We start from the raw sequence: 26,267 nt of genomic DNA, 5'->3' as shown, positions 1-26,267 counted from the left end.
CTCTCTTTTCACCCTGAGACCCCTGAGAAAGACAACACCTGTCTCTTGACCCAGCATGGTTACATTTTCTTTTCCTGGCCATGTGAACTCCAGAACTCCTGGGACTCAATTTGCTAAGTCTTTACAAAGTGCCAGCTGCCTACCAAGTGCCTGGTCATCAGCTCTGTTCACAATAGAGATTAGCCAAGTATTCTGCACACAGTAAGTGTTAAAAAAATATTTGGGGAAGACTGGGTTTGAGCTGAAACAGAGAATGAGAAACTACATGGAACTGATGGCTGAATGGAACCTAAACAGATACTAGTGCATATGGCCCTGGCCAGATGTCCGCATTCCAGGGCCAGTACTGCTAACTGTGTATGAAAGGTTACCAGTCAAAGACCCAGAAGAGCATAGCTAGTTGGCAGATCCCAACAGCTGAACGGGTGAATCAGGGGACAAGGTCAGGTGAAGTTCAAATGGTCATCAAACTGTTCACCCCTGTCGCAGACCCAAATCCTCTGTTTCAAACAGAGGATTCCTCTTCACCCCCAGCCTCAGAATAGGGCTGTGACATTTCCCTCCTGTGGCACCAAGGATGTCATCCAGGTGCCGGGCTCCTTCCTTTCTAGTGAGGCCGGGGATGGGGGTGGGGAAGGTTGAGGAGGTAGTGCTAAGAGTAGACAAAGGCTGTGCATTCAGAGAGGCTGGAATGGGCCTCAGAGGTTACCCTCTGCCCCAAAGCATGACACAGAGCACCAGGAGGCTCTCAGAATGAGCTTCGCTGTTCGGTGACTGTGGCCCTGGAACCCCAGATTTGTGAGAACAGTCTGACTCCTGTCCTCCCCTAGCCCTGCAGATACCAGGTGGCTACTAGAACAAGGCAAAATTACTGATGGAACCCCTCATGGGGGTCACACCAAACAGCAGGCTGGGCTTTCTAAGGTGCCTTTGCTGCCTCTCCAACTCGGCATCCAGCTGGAAAGGTGACACACACAAACACACACACACACACACACACACACACACACACGCGCGGAAAGGGACAGTGCTTTCACCGGCCTGAACAACCTGCCAAAGCCCTGGGGAACTCCCTTAGAAAACACAGCCACTCCCTTCTCTGTTGTTTGATTTTGGTGCAGTGAGCACATGTTGCTTTACTAATTAAAACAAAATTAAAAGAACAAGCACAAAACCTGCTGCCCACCTGGTTCAATGTGCACGGCCCAAGCTCACTCTGGACCCAGAGCAAAGAATAGGTGCTGCCAGGTCTAGGCGGAAGGAAGGGAAAAACCAACTCAGAGAGAAATGGGCTCTTGCCCACTCTGGGTAAAGGAGCAGAGTCCGCTCACATTCTTGTCCTTGGGAGATGCCCAGGCACTTGTCCTAGTGCAGTTAGAGCCACTGACAGGGACAACCAGCTTCTCTGGCACTGCACGGTCCCCCTCCCCTTTCAGGCCCCCACTGCTTCACCCCTAGAGCTGTTTCATGCAAAAGAGAACCAAGCTCATTTCTGGAGCCTCCCCCATAGTCTGGACCCTGGCCCCAGCAGCCATTGCCCGCCTCCCCAAAAAACATGTCAGAAAGGTGCCCCCTTCTGGCAACCAGGTGGCCGAACTGCCTGGGGCGAGGCTCCAACCAGAGTCCACGGCTGCCCTCTAGTGGCGGTGAGGGGAAGAGACGCCCTCCACCCCCACCCACCGAGGGCTCTTTTGCACTGGGGCCTCCCAATTCCTGATGGTCCTTTCAGGCCTGTGCCTTCAGTTCTAGCTCAATTAGGAACCCTGTCATCAGCCACAGAGCAAGGGGCAAGAGCCATCTGGGGGAATCAGCTACTGAATCAATAGGGCAAGACTCCTGGAGGAAATTAACATCCCTCAGACATTCTGATGAGGAACTGGGCAGCAGTCTCAGGCTTAGCCAGAGACAGGGAGGCCCAGGCTTTCCTGAAGCTCCAAGGAAAGCGTCTGGGGTCCAGCAATCGCCACCCACCGTACACAGTGGACAACAGCACACTCTTTAAATTAGGTCAAGTCCTCAATGGGAGGGACGAGCCGGACTCTGGGGGCGGGCACTGCCTGTGGCCATCTGGCCCCACCCTGTTCTCAGCAGGGTCTCCTTAGTCTCGCTGGCAGCTGGGTCCACCCAGGCCCATGTGGGAATGAGCTCAGGCAGGAAGCAGGCTCCACCATCCCTCCCTCTCCCTGGGACTCTGAGGAACTGCAGCACCTCTGCTCTACTCTTGGCCCCTTGGGGCGAACTGCTCCTCAGACACCTTCAGGGTCCACCCCACCCCAGGCAGCACCCCCACCTCTCTGCCTCTTTCCCCCCCAGCACAGAGCACTGCCTGACCGTCTCCACCACAGGCTCCCCTCTGGGACGGTCACTCCACGAGGGGAGGGGACCTCCTCCTGGCCATAGCTCGAACCCCGCAGTGAGGGCGGGGCATCTGGCCCATAGCAGGCACTGGGAGGCAACCCAGGACAGGAACTGAGGGCCTTTCTCTGGGCTTCGTCACCTAAACCTGACTCCCCTCACGGGGTAGTAAGCTCCCTGAACACCGAGAAGGGTTTCTCCCTGCTTCCCAAACAACCCAAGAGGCTAGGAGGGCAGGATGGAATGTAACCAGCAGAAAATGCTGCCTGACTCCACAGCCCTTTAACAGACCATTCAGAGATGCCCGAATGCAGATGAGCTGACGTCAGTATCTGACAGGTATTCTGCTTCTAGCACCTTAAGCTAAGACAGCGGTTCTCCACTGGGGGCAACTGTGCCCCCACCCAGGACACGTGCCAATGTCTGGAGCCATTTCCAGGTGTCACACTTGGCCAGGGCGAGTGGGGGGATGGTGCTCCTGGCATCTAGTGGGTGGAAGCCAGAGACGTTGCTAAAACCTACAATGTATAGCAGAGTCCCATGATGAAGTTATCTGGCTCAAAATATCAGCAGTACTGAGGCTGAGAAACCCTGGGCTAAGGTATCTTTATATTATTTTTTAACTTCCTAACAACAAATGCATTTAAAAAAAATACTGAAACTGATGATTCACCTACGAGGATATCACTGTGACCAAGGGACAATGTGGTATTACACAGGCTCACTGATGTAGACATGCCATGGGCAGGCTTTGTGCTGGGCGTGGTGCCATGGGCTGGACAGACCCAGCTTCAGCACCAGGCTCATGGGGTCTACACCTGTGAGCTCTGACTTTGGGCAAGTTACTTAACCTCTCCTTTCTTCAGTAAAATGGGGATTGTATTAGTTCCTGCATCACAGGATTATACAGAAAGGCATTTGCATTCTACCTGGCATGAAGTTAAGTATTAAGTATTCAACATATATTAGCCACAATTATGAGGAAAGGTGCACAGAAATTATTTACAGTCCAGCCACACAGGCTGCAACTCCAGCTCCTCTGGGCTGGATGGGCCACAGGAAACAGACACAGGGGCTGAGTAACTGCCACGTGTCCTGGGACTGCTACTTACACGCCAAGACTTTCAAGACTTTCAAATGTTTGGGCTGTTTCCTTGAAAAGAAATGATGACTCAATTTCTACCCCTCTTCAGGGTGGTGAGGTTGGGGCAGGGTGGAGCCAGGATCCTGGCTGTAAGGACCAAAACATGTGCCTCAGGAAGAAAGAAGAGGAAGGGAGGGGGTGGAGCTACAGGAACAGAAAGTGACTGAAAGCACTTGGGCTTTCTGGGGGGTGACGGTCAGTCAACACCTCCACCCACTGCAGCACTGCATACCCACTGACCCACAACCCTCATGCGTGGCCTCAGCACAGAGTGCAGACAGGGGGAAGCAGGCTCTAGGGAGGGTGGGACCACCTGCAAGGAGACATCCTTTGAGAATGGTGATTCAGGGTCCCAGAGGGGTGGGAGTCAGCGCACCGTGCATCAGCTCTATGCTCCCCGCTGTCACTAGGCCCTGGCTTCTCCCACACACCCACGGGCTGCCCAGGCTGTCCTTCCACGCCCCAAAATTTGGAAATGGCATGAGTTTCCAGGCCGCTCAGGCCCGAAGCTGGAATCACAGTGGGTAAGCTCGGGCAAGTGACTCAACCTCTCCAAGCCTCCCTCACTAGTGAATGGGGTCACCTGGCCTTCCCAGAGCACTGTACACCAAGCACATGGTTCAGCCAGGCCCCCAGCAGAAGCAAAGCATGACTGCCACTGGTCTCTCTCCCTCTTTCCCTCCTGGCTGTCCTTGATGTTCACATTAAAGTCATACCTGCAGAAAATTCAGTTGTGGGGAAGGGGAGCAGGCAGCCCCTAGAGGTGGCTGTCGGGGGGCTCTCAATGGAGAGGAAGTTAACAGCTGTGAAAATACTCCAGGTGTTTTGCATTCCTTCCCTCTCATTGGACCCTCACACCCTCTGGGACATGGACAAACAGAAGCCCCATCTTAGAGGGGAGAAAGCCAACTAGAGGGGCAGAGGGGGAACCTGTTCAGGGCCACAGAGTGGCCTCCAACCCCAGGGCCTCACCCTTACTTCCTCCAGATGGTGAGGGCACCCACCAAAGTTTTCAAACCAGAAGCTGGGACACAGCACCTGCAGGGCGTGAGCATCCCCAGGGGCTCAGCTCAGTAACAGGATTCCTGCTGTGGGCAGTGTAGCCTATCAGATAAGACCGCCAGCTAAGAAAGTCAGCCGGGCCCTGTGCACAGAATCCTGGCTCTACCAAGGACAAGTCATTTTTGTTCCCCGTGCCTCGATTTCCCATCTGTGAAGCAGGGATGCTAAATATGGTGCTTCCCTCAGGGAATACTGGGAGGACTAACAGACATGCAAGTGCCTGGTGTGAATTTAGCCCTTCCTAAGTGGCATGCATTATCCTAAGAAATATCCCTGAAATGGATGAATAAAGGAGACAGAGTATTGAAATTAGAACTGTCCCCTCCCCACGAAATCCACTCCAGGAAGCTTTCATAGATAAGAACAGCTCCTCTGGCCTTCGTGCCTATACAGGTCCTTGGGAGGGAGGGAGGACTCCTTAACCTCTGTAGTGCAGGGGTCAGCAAACTGTTTTCTCTAAAGGGCAAATAAAGACAGCAAATTTTACAGACTTTCCCATAAGGTCCCAAATGCAGCTACTCCAGTCTGTGGTGAGATTATATGCAAATGAAGGGGCATGGCTGTGTTCTAACAGAAGTTTATTTACAAGAAAAGTGGCGGCAGGCCACCCCTGCCTTACAGGCACAACTGCCCCAGGTCCGTGCCGGGCTTCATAAGTCACTGAGGAGTTAAAGTGGTGACCCCTGCTCCTCCCAAATCTCTGCAGACAGAGCTCTGCAGGCACAGCTGAGGACGGCCTCTCTTTGGGTCCCCCAGACTCATCCCTGGGAGCTCACAACTGGCAGAGGGAGACAAGGGCGCTCCAAGCAGCAGCCGTGGGGGAGTGGTGATCTCCAGCTTCAACTGCCGGGCCATGAAAACAGGAACCAGCCCTCCAGGCCACCGTTTCTCTGAAACCAAAGCTCAGCAACCGAAAAAGGATCAAAAAAGCAGATGGTGGAGGTGGAGCGAGGCAGCTGTGCTTCTCAGTGCCCCGGGCCGTCCTCAGCCCCATCTCTGGCACAAGTGGTCCAAGCAGCCCAGGACTCCATGGCAGGCCCTACCCTTGCAGGTGAACTGCCTCGGGTCTCCCAGCCTCCACATCCACATATTCCAAACAGAGACACCACCACCTCCCTGGCCTACCACTTGAGAAATTACACAAAGAAAACAAAAGGTGACTCATATTTGGGCCAGCAGCCTGTCCAGCTGTGGACTACACAAAAATAATAAAACAAATGATAATACTGGCTTTGATTTTCCTTTTCTTTTCCTTTATTTCTATTTTTATTTTATTTATTTATTTATTTTTTTGAGAGAGGGTCTTGCTCTGTTGGCCCAGGCTGGAGTGCAGTGGTGGGATCATGGCTCACTGCAGCCTCGATCTCCTGGGCTCAAGCAATCTTCCTACCTCAGCCTCCCGAGCAGCTAGGACCACAGGTGCACACCACGATGTCCAGCTAATTAAAAATAATTTTTTTTTGTAGAGACGGTCTCACTATGTTGTCCAGGCTGGTCTCAAACTTGTGGGCTCCAGCAATCCTCCTGCCTCAGCTTCCCAAAGCTGTGGAATTACAGGCATGAATTCCAGGCAGCTGTGATCTATCAGGCACCCTGGTGGATGGGTGGGTGGGTGTTCACATATAATTTGATCCCCACAACAATGCTATGAGAAGGCAGGCACGGTCCTTACCACCAGCTTACAGATAAGGAAAGCAGAGGTTCAGAGAGCTCAAGGGACTTGCCCATGCACACACAGGCTTGTCATAAGAGCTGGGATTGGCTCCCAGGTGTGCTGACTTCACAGCTGTGGTTCTCACTCTCCTGTCTGCCAGGCATGAGGAGAGAAAGGGAGGCAGCCTGTTTCCCAGTAGGGGCCCTTCCAACCTATTCTTTTTTTTTTTTCTTGACAGAGGGTCTCACTCTGCTGCTCAGGCTGTAGTGCAGTGGCACAATCACAGCTCACAGAAACCTCCGCCTGCCAGGCTCAGATGATCCTCCCACCTCAGCCTCCCAAGTAGCTGAGACTACAGGTGCATGCCACTAAGCCTGGCCAGTTTTGTTTATTTTTTGTAGAGACAAAGTCTCCCTATGTTGCCCAGGCTGGCCTCAAACTCCTGGACTCAAGCGATCCTCCCACCTCAGCCTCCCAAAGTGCTCGGATTACAGATGTGAGCCACTGCTCCCAGCTCCTTCCACCCTATTCTTTCCATTTGGAAGATAGGGACTCGTGCGTGCCTGTCCCCACAACCGCAAGGGCAGGGTGGAGAGAAAGAGAAAAGGGCACAGGCCTCCCCTGGGTCAAGGGTCCTGCTGGGGCAGGACTGCCTCCCCAAGGCCCAGGTCCACCTGCCTGTTGCAGTCATCACAGCCACTGCCTCCTGGAAGTGACCTCACCACAGCCTGTTCCACATTCTGGACAAACAACTCCACCTCCTTCTCTTCCAGGCAATTGAGAACTCAAGCTCAAGGTTACTGATAAGCAGCTCCATTGGGCAGGGATACCTGCTAGATGGAAAAGCTGCCTGGGCCAGAACGGTGTGCTTTGGTCAGAATGCTCCCCTGGCAGTCCCAGAGCACCTGGAGACCCACTCCATACAAGGGCACCACATCGAACAGTCAGCAGCTTCATGGGCCTTTGCCGCCTCCTGGAGATTCATGACCCACTTCAGGCTCCGGTTCTAGAGAGTCTCAGAGGTCTTCAATCCATTGTTTCCCAAACTTATTTGGCCATGGACCCTCTCCTGCAGATTCCTACTGTCCTACAATCCTCAGCCTCATCCCACCCTCTCTGCCCCTCCCAGACTCCTCCCATTTCGCCTGCCCCCACCAAAGCCCAGATCAAGCCTGACCTGCCACAGTCCACTATGTGCCCAGCCCCACATAGCTCTGAGCTCACCTCCTCCTCGACCCCCACATCGAGCAACTTTGTGGGGAAGGGAGATAAGCAGGAAGGAAAGAGGCTCACAGCCAAGCCTGGGTGGAAAGAGCAAGCTACAAGCAGTGTGTCCTCTAGGATACTATTTTGTTGTGGTTGTTAAAAAAAAAAAATACATCTGTGTATCTACACATAGAAAAACACGAAAGATGTATCAAAATGTTTAAAGTAATTATTTAAAGTGGCGGGGGGGATCAGCAAATTTTTTCTGTCAAGGGCCAGAGAGGGGCTGAAGGTTGAGCTGATCACCAGTGGCCAATGATATAATACATCATGCCTACGTAATGGAGCAGCCATAAAAACCCAAAAGCATGGGCTTGGAGAGCTTCCAGGTTGCTGGACACGTGGCAGTGGTGCACCCAGAGGGGCCCTGGACGCTCCGCATGCCTTCCGCATACCTAGCCCTATGCGCCTCTTCCACCTGGCTAGGCTGTACCATTTTACGTGGTACTGCACACCAGTCATCTAGCAAGTAAACTGCTCTCCTGGGTTCCATGAGCTGCTCTGGCAACTTATGGATCTGAGAAGAGGTTGTGGGAACCTGATTTGTAGCCAGTTGAGACAGAAGTTGTTGGTAACCTGGGAACCTGCTATTTGTGACTGGTATCTGCTATGGAAGGCAGTCTTTCATGGGACTGAGCCTCTGTGCCCCTCCCAGACTCCTTCCATTTCCCCTGCCCCAGCCAGGGCCCAGATCAAGCCTGACGGTTAGCATCAGAGGTGAATTTAATTGTTGGAAACCCAGCTGGTGTCAGAGAACTGGTTGTGAGTCGCGGAAAAAACCCCACATTTGGTCACAGAAATGACCTGTGTTGTATTGAGTATAAAGTAGGGCCAGGCACAGTGGCTCACGCCTGTAATCCCAGCACTTTAGAAGGCTGAAGCGGGAGGATCACTTGAGTCCAAGAGTTTGAGACCAGCCTGGGCAACAAAATGCAACTCCCTCTCTACAAAAAATTAGCCAGGTGTGATGGTGCATGCCTGTTGTCCCAGCTACTCAGGAGGCTGAGGTGGGAGGATCACCTGAGCCCAGAACGCAGGAGGTACAGTGAGCCATGATCACACCATTGCACTCCAGCCTGGATGTCAGAGTAAGATCTGTCTTTAAAAAAAAAAAAAAAAAAAAAGAGAGAGAGTATAGGGTAGAAGAAAACAGTAAGTTTGCTTTATCCTACTAAACAAGTACCATATGCAACAATCATGTATTCAAAAGCATGTAATGAAAAGAATGCATAAAGTGAAATGTAACAAAATAAATCACACTAAAAATGGCACACAGGCCTCAGAGAACTCCAGGCAGTCAGTGACAAGAAAGCTGTGTGACCCTGACCTTGGTTTCCTTGTGTGTGAGGAGGTGGTCACACCTACTGGGCCTGACCCATGGCCATGGAAGGCTGAGTGAGGCAGGGCGTGACTACGCACGGGGGACGGCTGCGCTTGGCACCTATGGGTCTGCTCCTCTCGTCAGTGATGTCCTCCAGCCCCAGCCCACTGTGTCTGTCTAAGGTTGTAATGACGCAGAGGAAGGGGCCCAAAGCCTCTGCTGCAGAGACAGGCAGGAAACCTCAGCTCCCGCCTGGGAGTCCCCAGACTGGTGGAGATGTTGCCAGCAGACCGGACCAGTTGCGGAATAGCCATGAAGCGACACTTGCTGCCAATACGCACTCCTCATCTTGAATCTTCTCCTTCCCCTGCCACCACCCAACACACCCCATGAAACAACCACTCCCGGCCTAACACCAGCCACCCCCTCGACTATTCAACAAGGCAGGTCTTGCTTCACCCAGGAGCAAAAGCCTACGGAAGGCATTCCAGGCACTATGGTTCTTAGGTCTCAGATAGGCCAGTATTCCAGGGACCTCAAGACAACCCACAGGAAAACAAGCACTTCTGCTGCTTCGTCAGCAGGGACAGCCACAGCCCCAGCGTGACGCCAGAACTTCACTTCTACCATACTTTCCCTCGTCCTTCACCACTCCTTAAAAGCCGGAATGAACAGGAATCTGCCTTCCCATTGGGTTTTTGGGGAACGTGAGGCTCAGAGGAACCAAATAACTTCATTCACACTGCAGACAACAGTAGACAAAACCAGACCCACTGGCCAGCTCACTGTCCTTTGCTTTTTCAACATCACCTCCCAGATGCCCTCCACCCTCCCCTCTTGAAATGCCCACTCCTGTTTCTCTTCTTGGCAGTCTCCCCCAAGCACACACAGGCTTTATTGCTTCTGTGGCTTCCTGAAGCGTGGCCCTTCCCACTAAGAACGTCTCTGCACACTCCTGTCTGACAAGATGTGACACAAGCCAGTTCCCACCAATCCTCTTGGAAGAGCACGTATGCACAGGCCAGAGAAGAGGGAGAGCAGCCTTAAGGCCACGTCAAAAGCCTCAGCCCAGGGGAATCGTTCTCCCACTCACTCAACTACCAGTGACCTACCCCTTCTTCAGGTTTTTCACATAGGCGCTCTGGAGGGCAGCTTCCAGGAAGTAGGTGAGCTCATAGTCAAGCGGGTGACAGCCTTTCAGATGCCTCGACGTGCTGTTATTTGTGGTCTGGGAAGGGAAACAGAGAGAGAGCCATTGTCTCAAAGTTCTGAGGCAGAGGGTCACTCAGCAAGAGGAGGTGGCCTCATCACCATCCCAGTCCCAGTTGTTCAGGGGCACATTGTTGCATTCTCAGACCAGGCTTGATCTAACTCGCTTTAACTCAAAATATGTCTAAAGCATTCTCTCCCCATCCAACCGTTAGATGCCCACAAGCCCTCTGTCTTTTTTTTTTTTTAAGAAACAGGGTCTTACTATGTTGCCCAGGCTGATCTCAAACTCCTGGGCTTAAGCAATCCTCCCACCTCAGCCTCCCAAAGTGGTGGGATTACAGGCATGAACCACTGCACTAAGCCCCTAACATTCATTCAACAATCACAGAGCTTTAAATTCATTAGCTCATTTAGTCCTTAGAGCAGCTCTATTAGGTAGGAACTGTCATCATTTCTATTTCACCGGTGAGAACAGAGAGGGTCTCTTCCTGCCCCAAGGCCACTAACGTGGCAGGTGGTGGCGGAGCCAGGCAGTCAGGTTCCCCTCTCCACTCTTACCCTCTACTGCAGGAGGACTTCTCTGTCTGTCCAGAACCATGCTGAGCACTCACTCTTCAACCAGACAGCACTCACTGCCTGAGCACATGGTAGAGAGACCGCTTCACGCAGCACTGCTTCCCTGTTCTGTGTATGCAAACCTCAGCTCCCACCAGACTTCACTCCCACAGGACAGGAGCTGTGTCTCCTGAGTCTCACTACTGTCCATGCCCCACCTCCAGTTAAGGAAAGAGAAGGGGAAATGAAACTCTTAGAAAATTGCCACCCAAGCCCAAATCTTACTTATGCCTCACAACGGTCCTACAGGGCTGGTTTTGTTTGCATTTTATAGATGAGGAAACTGAGGCTCAGAAAATGTCTAAGGTCAAAAGTGTCAATTACAGATGTGGTGGCTCACGTTTATAATCCTAGCACTTTGGGAGGCCGAGGCAAGAGAATCGCTTGAGGCCAGGAGTTCCAGACCAGCCTGGGCAAAAGAGTGAGGCTCTGTCCCAATCAATCCATCAATAATAATTTAATGCCTAAGATCACAAAGCTGGTGTCAGTCCGGACCTCAAACTCAAGCCTAGCCAGGTATGGATTCCAAGCTATTTCTACTATGTATCAGTTAATTCATTCCACAAACATCTAAGTGCCTGCTATATGCCAGGCACCGTACTGTCCCTCTCAAACAAGCATGGAACGTCAGAACATCCAGAGAATTGAGAGCCCTCTGGTTCCAGGAAAAGCTGAGGAACAATTACCTCATTAACTGAGCTGTTGCTTAAAAGCCTCAGCTCTAACAGGGTCCTCCTGCCCAACCAGACAGGCTTGCCTTCTGTATACCATTTCCTTTGTCTAATCTGAGGGGAAAAAAAATCAATGAGGCATCCACCTCCTCTTTCAGAATCCAGAGGAGATTTAAGAGAAGGTCTTAGTTCCTCAGAGGTCAGGACTGGGTCTCAGGAGGGACACACAGTATTTCTGAGGATGCACAAGATTCTGTGGCCTGCCCTCCCTCAACTTAGATAACAACTATAGGGTCCCATTTGTCTGCCCACTGCTACCAGGCACTGATTCCAGCCCTGGACATCATCATCAGACCTTTGACAGGGACAGTACAGTGCCTGGCATTATAGCTCATCGCCTTAATCCCCTTTTGAAAGTCCAAAGCCTAGGCTTCCAGCTGAGCAGCAGACTTTATCTTTTCCATGAAAGTTTCCTCCCAACCACATGCAATGCAAATATGAAAAGCTCCTAAAACACTACTACTGTCTAGCAGTGACCCATTCCCCCTTGGTGGAGGTCAACTCAACCATGCTGAGCCTTTAAGTGGCCTCTGCCAAAGAATGGGCACTCAAGTCCTATATTTGCTGAGCCCATCGGTCATTTCTCCTTTCCTCCTAAAGTCCAATCAAGCAGACATCTTCTAGAGCAGTGGCTGTCAGCAGGGGGGTGACTTTGCCCTCAGGGGACAGTTGCCAGTAACTGAAGACATTTTTGGTTGTCACAACAAGGGGGATAGTGCTACTGGCATAGTGGGGAGAGTCTAGGCATGCTGCTGAACATCCTATAATATACACGGCAGCCCCCCGCCCTCACCAACAACAAAGAATTCTCCAGCCCCAAATGTCAACAGCATTGAGGTTGAGAATCCTGCTCTAGGGGAAATGACCTGGCCTGGGGTGGACTCTTCCAAAATGGCCCATCACAAAAACGGGTACTGGACTGACATTTTGGCATCTGCCAAGGAAGGCGAGGTGCAAGTGTCTCCTGGGCTCTTAGTCTCTCGGCCCATGACCACCTCCTCCTTCAGGGCACCAATCCTAATCTATGCTGCTCTAGAACCTTCCATCTAACATGTTAAATTATCTTTTCCACAGAATACCTGAGCATCATCCCCAATATCTTCCCCACGAGCATTCACAGCCACACTCCCTGGGTTCAAATCCTGCCAATAGCACTTATTAATGAGGTAAACTCTGGGAAGCTAACTCTTCTTCAAATTTGTTTTCTTACTTGTAAAATGGGAATGACAACAGGACCGATTTCATCCAGTCAGTGTGAGGGTTAAATTATAGAATGAATGTAAAGTGCTTGGAGCTGTGTCTGACACAAAAGCAGGCACTCAAGAAGGGCTAGCAGGATCTCTGTTGAATATAGTTGCCTGTCCCCTTAGCATTGAACCAAGGGCCCCTCATGGCATAGTATTAAGATGCGGAGGGAAAAAGAATAAAATGGAGGCTGGGCACGGGCCTGTAATCCCAGCACTTTGGGAGGCTGAGGCAGGTGGATCACCTGAGGTCAGGAGTTCAAAACCAGCCTGGCCAACATGGTGAAACCCTGTCTCTACTAAAAATACAAAAATTAGAAGGGCACGGTGGCAGGCGCCTGTAGTCCCAGCTACTCGAAAGGCTGAGGCAGAAGAATCGCTTGAACCCAGGAGGTGGAGGTTACAGTGAGCTGAGATCGTGCCACTGAACTCCAGCCTGGGTAACAAAGCAAGCAAGACTCCATCTAAAAAATAATAATAAATAAATAAAATGCATAAAAATTAAAAATAAAAGTAAAAAAATACATAAAAATAAACCAGAGCCTCCCAGAAGGGGGAGGGCTGGGATACTTATCGCAAACGCTGCTACCACCTGTACTTGATACCCTGCAGACAGTTAACCCAGACCCACCACAGGGAGTGGGGAGGGAGGGGGATCTGAAAACTGCCAGAGCCCTGCCGACCAACTCTTTTACCAGCCTCTGAAAGGCTCGGAGAAGGAGTCCCAAGATCCTGCTTCCTCACAGGATCCAGGGAGGAGCTTCTGGGACACCGAGAGCAGGGAAGGATGTCCAACTGCAAGACCCAGGCAGACTCCACCCCTGCCAGGGAAAGAAATGGTGAGCAAATGATTCAATCTCCTAAAGCTCATCTATTAAACATCCTAGCGGATGGCATGGACTCATTTATCAAACTATTTTCCAGTAAAGAGTCTCATTCTAGTGGAATCAGTATACTATAATGAGTTTTCCAACTATGAAGTAGAGTGTCTTTGGGGGACAGAGAAGGTGACTTCTTCTAATTAGCACACAGGTGACCTATGGGTTTAGTGGGATCCATAGACATAGGTGCTCAATAGAGAGCAGCTCCTACCACGGTGTTATTTCCAGCTCACCTTCTCCAATTCCTGCAGGAACACCTGAGCGATCCAGGAGGCCCTCTCAAAACAGGTGATCACTTCCTCCTCCCTCTCTGTCAGGCGGAAGCGGGAGGCGATGGAGTTGGGTAGGCGTTCCAGAGAGAGGCCTGCGGGAGGAAGAGGGTGCCTCAGACCTGTCCTGCTCGGGCCCCCTGACTCCAGGCCCTCCCCATGGGCCGAAGGTGGGCTCATCCGAGGGGGCAGACACTCTGGTGCAGCCAGGAGGAGGCGGAGGTCTGCGGAGGGGAGGGAGGAAGCTGAAGCGACGGTGGTGTTAGCAGTGGCTGGGAGTAAGCGATGGGACAGCACGTGGGGAATCACAGTGCATCACCCCAGCCCAACTACCCGGGGAAGCCACTCCTGACCCCTCCTCTGTAACGCAGTATCCCCATTTTTCTAAGCGAAAGAGAATGAGGTTTTTTAAAAAAATTTATTTTTTTCTTTCCTCTTTCCTCCTTTTCCCTAGTTCCCCATTTCCTACTTAGCTCTTTAGAAATGCAATAACCTTTACCTTCCCTTCACCAGACACTCCCTACACAGCAAGCTTATCCATGTGCTGACTTAGAAGCTCCAGATCCAGAACTTTCCCACCAGGAGACTGCCTCTAGAGACAACAGTCAATTTACATCCTAAAGTGTGACTGAGAGGGAACTCTCTCCCAACTGGAGAGTATCTTGAAGCAATGCTCACTTTACAACCTAGCTCTGCCCGTGACGGTGCCAGCTCGACCACCTGGTAGGTAAGGCACCAAGGCAAGTCATGCAGACCCTGCACTTGCTTGCTCCCTCCTCTGCATGGCATTCATGCCAAGTACCCCTTTAAAAGCCCCTGCTTTTTGCCCAGGAACTGAAGTGGTTATCTTTAAAGGCAGGAGCCTGTACCTTTTCCCCTAAGCTAAGCTTTGGAATAAAGTCACTTTCTTTATTCCAGACCTCGCTCTTGTTAATTGGACTCTGCAAGTGGCGAGTGACTGAACTGCATTTCAGTTACAATTTTGGTGGCCCCTATGAGGACTGCAGTACACTTTGGACGATTGAGCCTATCAGCCTGGTTTCACCACCAGGCAAGGCGGGGGCTGCCTGGGAGCACCAGCTGCTCCTGGCTACTGGACTCCAGGATAGGAATGTTAAGGGGATTTCTCAGCAGCTGCCAAAACGTTCTTGTTTTGGGGAAACCTCCCTTTCACCCCCTGGCACGACATCTGCTGCCTCCAATGCTTCACTGGTATAAAGAAAGTGACCTCTGAAGAAGCCGGCAACCTTGAAACTGGGTGAGCAAGTTGGACTGTACCCGACTTTTTTCTGTCTCTTCTGGGTATCCTGGGACTTCATTCTGTGCAGACTTGGCCGCTACTGGCACGATTTGGGCATTTTGAGCATTTACATTTGTGTCACTATAGGGACTCAGCTGCCTGTGAAGGTATCTGGAGCTGAGGCAGGGGGTTCAGAACTCCACTCAGTCCCTCGACTGGGAATTTTGTTTGGAAGCACGCCATTTGTTTGTGTGAATGTATGACTTTGTGTACAGGCTTCTTTCTTTCCTTAGCTCCCTCCAGGTGGAAACAGTTCACCTCAACCGGCAACCTGCGGCAGTGGGAGGGATCCATCCTCCGCCGCACTCGGCACTGAGGCCCTCCCTGACGGGGGATAAATGAGGGTAGCAAGGGTTTCCCTGCACCATGCGGTGGCTGGAAGGCTCTCGAGCTCCTCTTCTGCCACTCTACTTTTTCCTCTCTCTTTCCATTCTCTCTCTCATGCCACTCTTGGAAAACCTGGCTGTGCTGCAAAAGCCAGCCAGATAGTCCATACTCTTATCTCCTCCATAAAACGCGAGGACAAGTTTCTCCCCTTCCCTTCACTTTGCTGTTCCACAACCCTTAATTTCAGGGGCTCCATTCTGCTCCTGGGCCTTGGATTTAAAGAGGGAACAGGATTGGACATGGGCAACAAGGTCTTTGTCCCCTCAAAGAGCCCCTCGGGGTGCATTTTGGTTAATTGAAAAGCATACAGTTGTGAGCCCATGACTAGGAAAAAGAGGATGTTTTACCATAATACTATCTGGACCCAATACCATCTGGGCCACAGTGAATTCTGGCCTGAAGATGGGGTTACTTGGTTACATTTCCAGTTGTTAGAAGAAAAACATCCACCCTCCTGGTGCTCACCACTTTCTACACTATATTTTGGTCATCTCCGGCCAGCTCTTCTCTCTCCAACTAGCTGAAAGCTCCACGAGGGCAAATGTGAACCTTTTTGGACAACCACAACCCTAGAACAGCACCTCACATAGTAGGTGCTCGAGTTATGCAGCATTTTACATGCACACTTCCCATGGAACCCAACAGTTCCTCCCTGCAGAAGTTACCCATGCTCAGGTCTCTGCCTGCAGGGGACACCCACTTTCCCATTTATCAGTAATAGCACCTTGCTCTCCTTTTGACCACCTCTCTTGCAATCTCAGCTGATCATGACAGCCATGGCAATCAGCTAAGTGTGGGCACATGGCCTAATCTGGGCCAATAAAAACCAGTCTTAGAATTGTCGCTCTTTCCACTGGGGTTGTTAAGCTGGTACCAGACATCAGCTTAGAAATGTTAGAGAAAACCTGCCTTAAAATGAAGTCTACACAATGTGAACATAAATAACACTACTGAAGTGTACATTTAAAAATGGTTTAGATGGCAAATTTTATGTTGTATGGGGCTTTTTTACTGCGATTTAAAATTTTTATTTAAGAAAAGCTTCAAGGCCAAAAACAAAAAGCTCAAAAAAATAAAAACAATCTGTAAGAAACACAGAAGGGATATAGCATTGTTAGCCTTACTAGAAATTAATGCTGTATGGAAAAACAACTGTATTTGCGTCAGGTTACTTTTTTTTTTTAAGACAGGAAAAATATTGAATAAACTCTTAGTCACGAAAAAAATGAAATCCATGCAGAGAAAAGACATGACATGACAGAGAAGGGTGGATTCTTAAAGAGACGGAGTACCTAGATCCAGCTTTGCCTGAAGCTCTACCTGCTGGAAATTTCCAGTGTATGAGTGCCATTAAATAGCTCCCATGTCTTCTTCCTCCCTTCCTTCCTTCCTCCCTCCCTCCCTGCCTCCCTCCCTCCCTACCTCCGTCCCTTCCTGTCTTTCTTTCTTTTTTTTTTTGTCACTTGCAGCTAATATAGACCTGACTAGAGAGTGCTGTCCTTCTGAACTATTGGTTCCCAACGGGAAGAATCAATGTCTGTCCCATCTTTGTGCCCACACAGTACACTTTAGGTACTTTACATGTAGTAAGTAGAGGCTCAAGATGAACTTACTGAAGAGATGTATAATGGAAGAATCCTCAACTGTTTCCTGCCCTATAAGCCCCAACATCCACCTAATGACCAAGTCCTCAGCACTTCAAACCTTCCCTTCCTCTCTTCCTATTACCTTATTTCAGGTTTTATCTCCTGAGTGGATGACTACATCGGCCTAACTGGCCTCCCTGCCTCCAGTCTCACTCTAATCCCCAGGGGGATCCTTCTAAAACTCTCCAGGGGTCCACACTGCTACAGAGTAAGGTCCAACTTCTGGAAGCTCCACACCAGGCCCTCCTGGTATCAATTCTCCAGCCTCATCCCTCACCTTACCTGCCATATCCACAACTAACCTCCTGCTCCCAACTGCTAGGTTGTAGGATGCCTTCTTGACTTGCTCAAGTTGTTCCTCCTGCCTGGAATGTATCCACCCCACCAGGTCTACCCAAAATTACTGTTCATATTCTGACCCACTAAATGCCACCTCCTCTACAAAGCCCTTCCCGATATTCCCTGGTATAACCAAACATTCCTCCTTTAAGCCCCAGTCTATACATATTCCTGACTCACCATTTCTTATACTTATTTGTTCATATGTTTCCCCAGACTGTAGGCTCCTTCAAGACATCAACCTAATCGTGTTTACTTTTCTACCACCTGGCACACAGTAGGTACTGGACAAGCATTTGCTGGCTGGATGAAAAAACACAAGCCTGGTCATGTCTGACAAAGTGCAAAGTGCTCTGCAAATATAAGGTAAGGAATTATTATTGTTTTTCTTAGCCACATTCCCATGCACACAGATTCAGTGACCTTGTCCCTTTGCCAGGCTGGGGTGTGACCAGATCCAAAGTTCGGTTGCCTTGGCCTGGAGGAAAGCGGGCAGAGAACATGAAGGTCCTTGCTCAACACAAAGACCCAGGTGCCCAGGACACTGGGTGTCAACGACTGCCAAATGACTCACAACCAGGAGGGGGAGGATCCTTATTCCAGAGGACTAAAGGGGGAAGAGGAACCGAGAAAGAATCAAGGAGGCAGGCCTCGTTGCTCACTGCCAGAGCTAGGCCAGCCCCTGCTCCCCAGACATGCAGCCTATCCACCTTGCAGGAAGGTGGGGCGAACCTACGAACTGTTCAGAGGCCTGGCCCAGGAGACCAACTGCAGGTGGCAGGGCACAGCCAATTCCAGGGGACATGGAGTGGATCTGTTTCAACACAGCTGCCTTGTAGTCCCCGGAGAGATGTGCTGAGGCTGGGCTCCCTCCTGCCACACCTCCGGGTCCAGCACTGGGATGGGTGATGCCAGCTACTGGCTAGTTCAAGCTGCCAGCCCCAAGCCTCCAGAGGGCTGGCCACCGCAAAGCTGTGAATTCAGGAACAATGGTCTGTGGGCCTCCACCTTCCCTGTGTGGCATTTGTTCCTTCCACTCCCCGCAGGGGCCTCCCCATCATGCTTCTCCAAGAACCCCAAATCCCATCCTTCTTGAAAGCTCAAAGCAGGCCAGGCGAAGTGGCTCACACCTGTAATCCCAGCACACTGGGAAGCCCAGGCAAGCGACTGCTTGACCTTAGGAGTTTGAGACCAGCCTGGGAACATGGTGAAACCCCGTCCCCCCCAAAATAGAAAAAATTAGCTGGGCTTGGTGGCGCACACTTGTGACTCAAGCTACTCAGAAGACAGAGGTGGGAGAATTGCTTGAGCCCGGGAGGTGGAGGCTGCAGTAAGCCAAGATTATGCCACCGCACTCCAGCTGGGTGACAGAACAAGACCCATTTCAATTTAAAAAAAAGCTCAAAGCAAAGCCACCTCTTCTCTGAAACCCTGCCAGGTAGAGTTAAGCCTCCCTGTGTCTAAACCAGTTGAACAGTCTGGCTGCATCTCCTAAGTATGTGCCTTTTTCCTGCATTGTCATCATCCTCTCTACCCATTTCCGACTGATCTTTGCACCCCAGTGATGGCCAGGGCCTAGGGTTTAGGAAGCATGCAGACGGATGCATAGATGAATGAGCATATTCACGTAGCCAAGTGTACAGCCCAAAGGAGTTCCTCCCTCTCTACTTAAAAAATATTTCCTGGGCCAGGCACGCTGGCTCATGCCTGTAATCCCAGCACTTTGGGAGGCCGAGGCGGACGGATCACGAGGTCAGATTGAGACCATCCTGGCCAGCATGGTGAAACCCCGTCTCTACTAAAAATACAAAAATTAGCTGGGCATGGTGGCACATGCCTGTAAATCCCAGCTACTCAGGAGGCTGAGGCAGGAGAATCACTTGAACCAGGGAGTCGGAGGTTGCACTGTCGCCCAGGCTGGAGTGCAGTGGCGCGATCTCGGCTCACTGCAAGCTCTGCCTCCCGGGTTCACGCCATTCTCCTGCCTCAGCCTCCCGAGTAGCTGGGACTACAGACACCCGCCACTAAGCTCGGCTAATTTTGTTTTTGTATTTTTAGTAGAGATGGGGTTTCGCCATGTTAGCCAGGATAGTCTCGATCTCCTGACCTCGTGATCCACCCGCCTCGGCCTCCCAAAGTGCTGGGATTACAGGTGTGAGCCACCGTGCCCGGCCCAGATTTTTTTTTTAAAACAAACTCTTATATACACATAACACAAATGAATTACTTAAAAATTACATGTGCAAAAGAAACCAGACATAAAAAAAATGCATACTGTATGATTTCATTTATTCAAAAAAGCAAATTAATCTATATCAATAGAAAATAAGGCCAGGAGTGGTGGCCCACGTCTGTAATCCCAGCACTGTGGGAGCTGAGGCAGGGGATCAATTGAGCCCAGAAGTTCGAGACCAGCCTGGGCAACATAGCGAGACTTTATCTCTTAAAAAAAAAAAAAAAACACAAAAACAAAACAGAGGTTGCCTGGGGTGGAGACCAATTAGAAAAGAGCCCAAGGGGACTTTCTGTGGTGATAGAAATGTTCTGTATCTTTATTAGGGTACTGGTCACATGGATATTTACACTGGCCTAATTCATGAAATTATACAGTTAAGATTTGTACATGTCACCATATGAAAATTTATCTAAAAATAATGGAGATAATGCCTTTTTGAAGGGAGCTGTCATGATTCAGAGAAATAAAAGTTCAAAGTAGAGGGGTACATTCACGGAGGCGGTCCTCTATAAAGCAATTTCCAATATACACAGGGCCAAAAAGTTTCTGGAGCTGGCAGTGGCTTTTCCTAAGCAAGGTCACAGTCCAGTCACCCAGTTCTGCCCATAAAAAGGGGCCGGGAACCTTGTATTTGTCCCCTGGTTGATAAGGTCTATTTTCCTGTCCACAAACATCTGACTGGAAGCCCACCCAGGTGCTGCAGGCTTGGGTTTCTTTTCTTTACCTTCTGCCCCGTGAGCGCTTCTGCACAAACGGCCAGACTACAGTGCTCAATCCAGGATGAAGGTGGGCTGCCCTGCGCCCAGTCCTTGAGGCATCGGAGGGTTGTAACACAGCCCTGCAGGGCAGGCACTGCCTTGTGATTCCCACCGGCAAGGGCCTTTCTGTGCCAATACCCAGCTCTAGGAAAGGTCCCTTGCAAGAGGAGGACTTGCTTTTTCATTAACTCAGAACTTTCGATTTGGAGCCAAGCTGATCCTGGCACAGCCTCAGGCCCAACACCAGGCTGGTCCCAACTCCTTCAGTCTGAATGACTCATCACATCCAAGGCAGCCGCCCTTCCAAGAAGCCCCACCCTTGGAACCCTGGAGCCTTGGGCCCTGGATGCAGAGGTAGAAAACAGAAAACATCCTCAGCAACAGAACCCCTTCCCTCCCACCTACCCAGCCTGTCAAAGGGCACGAGGACAGCTGCAGCACCCACGGAAGATGAATCCCAGACTTGGGTACCCTGCAGCCACGGGAAGAAGCGAAAAAATGCAATTCATTCAGCTCTCGGGGGGAAACCGAAAGGCCAGGTAGGAAAGAACCCTCACAGATCACTCTGTTAAAATTAGAACATTTAAAAATAGATATTACCATATGATCCAGCAATTCCACTTCCAGGTATATACCCAAAAGAATAGAAAGCAGGGTCTCAAAGAGGTATTAGTACACTAGCATTTATAGCAGCATTATTCACAATAGTTAAAATGTAGAAGCAACCCAAGTGTCCATTGACAGATGAACACATAAACAAAATGCCACATATACATACATACAATACAATATTATTCAGCCTTCAGAAGGAAGGAAATTCTGACACATGCTACAATATGGATAAGCCTTGAGGACATTTTACTAAGTGAAATGAGCCAGACACAAAAAGGCAAATACTGTATGATTCCTCTTACATGAGGTACTTGCGTAATCAAATTCATAAAAACAGAAAATAGAAGAGTGGTTGCCAGGGGTTAGGGGAGGAGGGAATGGGGCGTTGCTGTTTCACGGGCATAGAATTTTGGTTTCGCAAGGTAAAAGAATTCTGGAGACTGGTTGCACAATAATGCAAATGTTAAAAGAGTTCAGGAGATTGGTTGCACAACAGTGTCTTAGTACCGAACTGTACGCTTAAAAGTGGTTAAGATGGTCAATTCTATGGTATGTATATTTAACACATTTTTTTTTTGAGACGGAATCTTGCTCTGTCACCCAGGCTGGAGTGCAGTGGCACAATCTCAGCTCACGGCAACCTCCACCTCCTGGGTTCAAGCAATTCTCCTGTCTCAGCCTCCTGAGTAGCTGGAATTACAGGCACGCGCCACCACGCCTGGCTAATTTTTATATTTTTAGTAGAGATGGGGTTTCGCCATGTTGGCCAGGCTGGTCTTGAACTCCTGACCTCAGGTGATCCACCCGCCTCAGCCTCCCAAAGTACTGGGATTATAGGCATGAGCCACCGCGCCCGGCCAACACAATTTTTTAACGGAAAAAAAAAAAACAAAAAACACAGGCAATTTGGCTTCTGTATCAAAGTCTCCAAAAAATGTATACTCTATGATTCAGTAATTCTACTTTCTAGGAATTTATCTTCGAAAAAAAAAAAAAAAAGCTGGGGGTGGTGACTCACACCTGTAATCCCAGCACTTTGGGAGGGTAAGGTGGGAGGATTGCTTGAGCCCAGGAGTTCAGGACCAGCCCTTGCAACATAGACCCCATCTCCACCAAAAAAAAAAAAAAAGTGATGTATACAAAATTTAGCTTCAAGGATATCCATTTCAGTATTATTTATAATGGCAAAAAAAAAAAAGATTTAGCATACAGGTCCAATGACGGGACTTCACAAAATTAGGATAGAACGTTACAATGAAATGCTATGAAGTTACTTACAGTGACATAGAGGTGTATTGAAAAATGACTCATGAAATACTTTTTTAAAAAGCAGATTATAAAACATGACTGTATGAACTTACATTTTAAAAGCATATATAATCCTATAGGGAAAAAAGACTGGAAAGATATACCTCAAAATGTTCACAGAGTGCTAAGTCTGTTTCCGCAAATACAAAATAGAGTTACTAATAATGCCTAGCTCGTAGTGTAGCCATGATCATTAAATTAGATGAAATATTATAAAGAGTAGAAAGTATGCAGGCCAAGCACAGTGGCTCACACCTGTAATCCCAACACTTTGGGAGCCTGAGGCGGGAGGATCATCTGAGGTCGAGAGTTCAAGACCAGCCTGACTAACATGGAGAAACCCCATCTCTACTAAAAATACAAAATTAGCCAGGCGTGGTGGCGCATGCCTGTAAACCCAGCTACTCGGGAGGCGGAGGCAGGAGAATTGCTTGAACCCGGGAGGTGGAGGTTGCGGTGAGCTGAGATCGTGCCATTGCACTCTAGCCTGGGCAACAGAGCAAGACTCCACCTCAAGAAAAAAAAAAGTATGCACTTAGAAAATATTTTCAAGTGATGCTCACAATAACCTCTTAGGTAAGGGTTTAACCCTTCTCCAGAGTTACAAATAAAAAATCTAAGCGGGGCATGGTGGCTCACGCCTGTAACTCCAGTACTCCTGGAGGCTGAGGCAGGCGGATCACTTGAGGTCAGGAGTTCAAGAACAGCCTGGCTAACATTGCGAAACCCCATCTCTACTGAAAATACAAAAAATTAGCAGGGTATGGTAGTACGTGCCTGTAATTCCAGCTATTCTGGAGGCTGAGACAGGAGAATCATTTGAAGCCAGGAGGCAGAGGTTGCAGTGAGCCGAGATCGCATCACTGCACTCCAGCCTGGGCAACAGAGTGAGACTGTCTCAAAAAAAAAAAAAAAAAATGAATCCAGGGAAAACGGATTAATTCCAAGACCCCTCAGCTAAAAGCATCAGTGTCGACTAGCTCCAGGTCTCTGGCTGGATGAGGCCTGATCCCCTAGCAGCCTGCTCCTCCTTCTCCATCTGGAAGCCAGCCTCTCACCTGGGGCCAAGACAGCAGTGCCACAGGGACTGAGCTCCTGTCCATGTGAGGCACACAGCCCACACCCCTTGGAGAGGGAAGCCAAAATCAACAGTGAATTCCCGCCATACCAGGGCTAAAAACACAAAAACCAAGTATGCTATCATATCCTGTCCTGGAAGCAGCGTAGTGTTCTTTCTTTTTAAAAAGTTTTAATCAGCCACACAATTCCAGGTGACAGCAGAATACCTTGGGGTTGCACTGACCAAAAGAGAACAGTAAAAAAAGAAGCCCATCTTCAACGGGCGGGGAGAGGAGAATCTGCAGATCATAATCCTTCTGGCTGCTGAGGGCATTTCACCTTTTGACTTTGCACAGCAGCTTCACAACCTAGCATGTCACTGCACTGCACAGTTCATGTGCACCACGGTCAGGGCATCAGGACCTCCCTGGCGCTGGGTGTGAGGTGAAGGAGAACGCGAGCCGGCCAGGCTGACGCTGGGGGCAGGACCCATTCTCAAGGGGCCTGTGCTCCATCCATGGAGCCACAGTGAACCCTAAATTAGGCACCAATGACTAAGGTCTGCCAGGCTCAAGGTAGAATGAATGGCTGGAGAAATGGCAGTCACTCTCCATGCCCTTAGCACACTGAGCTAGTGCTAGAGAAATGGAAGAGACCCACCGGAGCTTGGGGAGGCTGAACGGGCTAAAGCTAGAGATGTCCAAAGAGCAGGCCCCGAAACATCCTGGATGCCAATCAAAGCCAGGGAATAACCCTCAGAGCTCAGACCAACAAAAAAGTGGGTGATTTGTTACCCTGGATCCACAAAGGCTTCATCCTAGTCTAGGGCCCAGACCCCTCAGCTCCAGACCCTAGAGAAGATTGCCCCAGACAGAGTGCTGAACCATAGGTGAGCCTGATTTGAGGGGGAACAGGCTGTGGTGCACCTCAGGGTGTGGTGACCCACAGCCAAAGATCTAGAAACCCCAGTGAAGAGAGACACCCTGAGCCTTACTGTGGGCTCTCCGCTCTGGGCCCTCTCATGGGGCCCACCTGGCCCTCACACTCATTCCCAATCCATCCCACACACACCTCCTCTTGGCTCCAAGAAGTATGATTACACTGCACCTCCAAACAAGCCACCTCCCCTTGTTTCCCCCGGGGCTTCCCTTTGGCCTTCCCTTGCTGGAAGGCACCTCTTCCCCTCAACTGTAGGTGATTCATCCTCAAGTTCAGGCTCACCACCCAGCTCGCCTGTGAAGGCCCCACAACTAGCTGGATCTCACCTCCCTCTGCAAGAGTGCTTCAATCGAACAAGCCTGAATGCTGGAGTCAGAGAGAGCGATGTCCACAGCCTGACCCTGCAACTACTGGTGTAACCTGAGGTGAATCATTTCTGCCTGCGCTCTGGGGCTCTGCCTCCATGCCTTTTACCTACTTTCATAACCGTACCCTGGTTTTCCTTTGAGGAACCATTCCCACATCTCAGTCCACAAGATTCAGGTGGGGGAAATCCCACCCCTGACACCAGCCCAGTATCCTAGGTGCTGGGCACAATTGGCTCCAGGGTGGGCATGAGACCAAGCCAGGTCCATGAGAAGCTTCCCCAGGCAGTCTCTCCTTCTGAGTTTGTGGGTGCCATACTGCAAGAACCATGTACTCCTGGAGCTGCTGAGGAAGACCTCAACAGACCTCAATAGCTGAGCCCCCGGATTCAGCTATGCCTGATGCCATGCTGCTCCAACAACTTTCTAGTACAAGGGGCCATAAATATCCAGTCCCTCCTTTTTGTTGTGACTTTCCAACTAGTTGGAGTTGTACATTGGTTATTATAACCATAAGTCTGGTTATGCAGAAACTGATCCCCAGAGGCATGATGTCCGAGGGGAAAATTCCTGAAATACAGGATTGGCTGGGCTGAGGTCAGGTGGGGCAGTGAGGACTTTGCCATCTCCAAGCTAAGAAACTGGAATTCCAGATAGACAGCAGCAGCACTACCGGCTGGAATGCAGCCTATTTTGTCTTGAGGTGAGACCTTGGGCATGTGGTGGAACACTTCAGGATACTGGCCTATGCCGGATGCTTCTTGGGGCCCATGCTAAGCCCTATAAAAATAAGCCTTACAAGCAGCACTCCTGGCAGCCTCTCCGAATAAGAAAGCTTTGTCTGTATAAAACAATGCAAGACAGCTGAGAGTGAAGTCAGATAAATGGAGTTGAAAATTCTCTGTCCTTGCTGAAGGCAGTGCCAGAGGAGACAGGGGGACCAGATTCTATTAGGAGACAAGGCTGGAAAGGCCTGAATCCCTCCCCATGCAAACCTCACAAGGACCCCCTGCTGCAGCTCTCACTGCACTGCGAGAGAGCCAGGGGTGGGTGCCTGAGAAGAGCCCTGAGGCCTGCTGCTGAGCGACAGACCCTTGAGGCCTGGATCTAGATCCATGGACTTGAAGTCAACACCATCTTTATCTCTAGGTTCTCACCCATGAAGATGATGCAATGGCAATTGCCCAAAGGCTTATTACTACAGAGTTTTAAGGAGCTGTAGAGGCAGACAGACCCCAAACCTGGCAAACAAGCCCTTGCACTGTTCAACCTATCAGGTAGGCTCAAGTGTTCCACTCCCATCAGGGGGTGGGCTGCCCAGAAGCAGCAGCCCAGAGGGGACTCTTCACAAATGGCCTTTTCTGGTGGCCAAAAGGCCAAGAGTCAAGGCAGAGCTTCCCATGGGACAGAACTAGAGACAGCCATATGGCCGAGACACCATGGCCAGGCAGGAAGTCTGCCATACTGCCCCAATGAGCCATGGCAGGAGCAGCAGACCAGCCACTCTGGGGTCTTCCAAACAGCTGCTTCCCCTCTAGCTGCATCCCTCCAGGAGCATGCTTTG

The 26,267-nt window shown here is 50.2% G+C and overlaps 1 protein-coding gene across 16 annotated transcripts in view, besides 8 other annotated features; it reads right to left on the bottom strand.

Moving 5' to 3' along the window:
• The window catches only part of TTC7A (tetratricopeptide repeat domain 7A), a 160,258-nt gene that overhangs the window by 87,302 nt on the left and 46,689 nt on the right, over positions 1-26,267 (bottom strand). For 15 of the 16 annotated variants that reach the window (XR_007078570.1, NM_001288953.2, XM_047445148.1 and 12 more), the window contains 2 exons: positions 13,719-13,849; positions 9,915-10,030 (listed from right to left, as the gene is read on the bottom strand). Coding sequence is in view for 13 of the 16 variants with exons in the window: in NM_001288953.2 (NP_001275882.1) it covers positions 9,915-10,030; positions 13,719-13,849 (247 nt within the window). In the remaining 3 variants the exon portion in view is untranslated. Of the gene's footprint in view, positions 1-9,914; positions 10,031-10,572; positions 10,705-13,718; positions 13,850-26,267 lie in introns of those variants that run through there. The other variant, XM_011533000.4, reaches the window with a different exon arrangement.
• Positions 390-890: an enhancer, noted in NCBI's record as "H3K4me1 hESC enhancer chr2:47215071-47215571 (GRCh37/hg19 assembly coordinates)". NCBI's record gives its function as "activates a minimal SCP1, AML or CMV promoter by ChIP-STARR-seq in naive H9 embryonic stem cells {active_cell/tissue: H9 hESC(naive)}" and the evidence as "EXISTENCE:reporter gene assay evidence [ECO:0000049][PMID:30033119]".
• Positions 891-1,391: an enhancer, noted in NCBI's record as "H3K4me1 hESC enhancer chr2:47214570-47215070 (GRCh37/hg19 assembly coordinates)". NCBI's record gives its function as "activates a minimal SCP1, AML or CMV promoter by ChIP-STARR-seq in naive H9 embryonic stem cells {active_cell/tissue: H9 hESC(naive)}" and the evidence as "EXISTENCE:reporter gene assay evidence [ECO:0000049][PMID:30033119]".
• Positions 3,928-3,977: an enhancer, noted in NCBI's record as "active region_15720". NCBI's record gives its function as "activates an Ori minimal core promoter by ATAC-STARR-seq in GM12878 lymphoblastoid cells {active_cell/tissue: GM12878}" and the evidence as "EXISTENCE:reporter gene assay evidence [ECO:0000049][PMID:35858748]".
• Positions 4,348-4,407: an enhancer, noted in NCBI's record as "active region_15719". NCBI's record gives its function as "activates an Ori minimal core promoter by ATAC-STARR-seq in GM12878 lymphoblastoid cells {active_cell/tissue: GM12878}" and the evidence as "EXISTENCE:reporter gene assay evidence [ECO:0000049][PMID:35858748]".
• Positions 5,088-5,227: an enhancer, noted in NCBI's record as "active region_15718". NCBI's record gives its function as "activates an Ori minimal core promoter by ATAC-STARR-seq in GM12878 lymphoblastoid cells {active_cell/tissue: GM12878}" and the evidence as "EXISTENCE:reporter gene assay evidence [ECO:0000049][PMID:35858748]".
• Positions 5,268-5,497: an enhancer, noted in NCBI's record as "active region_15717". NCBI's record gives its function as "activates an Ori minimal core promoter by ATAC-STARR-seq in GM12878 lymphoblastoid cells {active_cell/tissue: GM12878}" and the evidence as "EXISTENCE:reporter gene assay evidence [ECO:0000049][PMID:35858748]".
• Positions 13,457-14,656: an enhancer, noted in NCBI's record as "CDK7 strongly-dependent group 2 enhancer chr2:47201305-47202504 (GRCh37/hg19 assembly coordinates)". NCBI's record gives its function as "activates an origin of replication core promoter dependent on BRD2, BRD4, P300/CBP, MED14 and CDK7 cofactors, with strong dependence on CDK7, by STARR-seq in HCT116 cells {active_cell/tissue: HCT116}" and the evidence as "EXISTENCE:reporter gene assay evidence [ECO:0000049][PMID:35650434]".
• Positions 20,578-20,872: an enhancer, noted in NCBI's record as "tiled regions #1272 and #3994 (exact overlaps); K562 Activating DNase matched - State 1:Tss". NCBI's record gives its function as "activates a minimal TATA promoter and a strong SV40 promoter by Sharpr-MPRA in K562 cells {active_cell/tissue: K562}" and the evidence as "EXISTENCE:reporter gene assay evidence [ECO:0000049][PMID:27701403]".

This window comes from Homo sapiens, chromosome 2, assembly GCF_000001405.40.
Source record: "Homo sapiens chromosome 2, GRCh38.p14 Primary Assembly".
NCBI classification, from domain to species: Eukaryota; Metazoa; Chordata; class Mammalia; order Primates; family Hominidae; genus Homo; species Homo sapiens.
The sequence above is the reverse complement of the archived record's forward strand: the minus strand, read 5'-3'. Positions and strand labels throughout refer to the sequence as shown.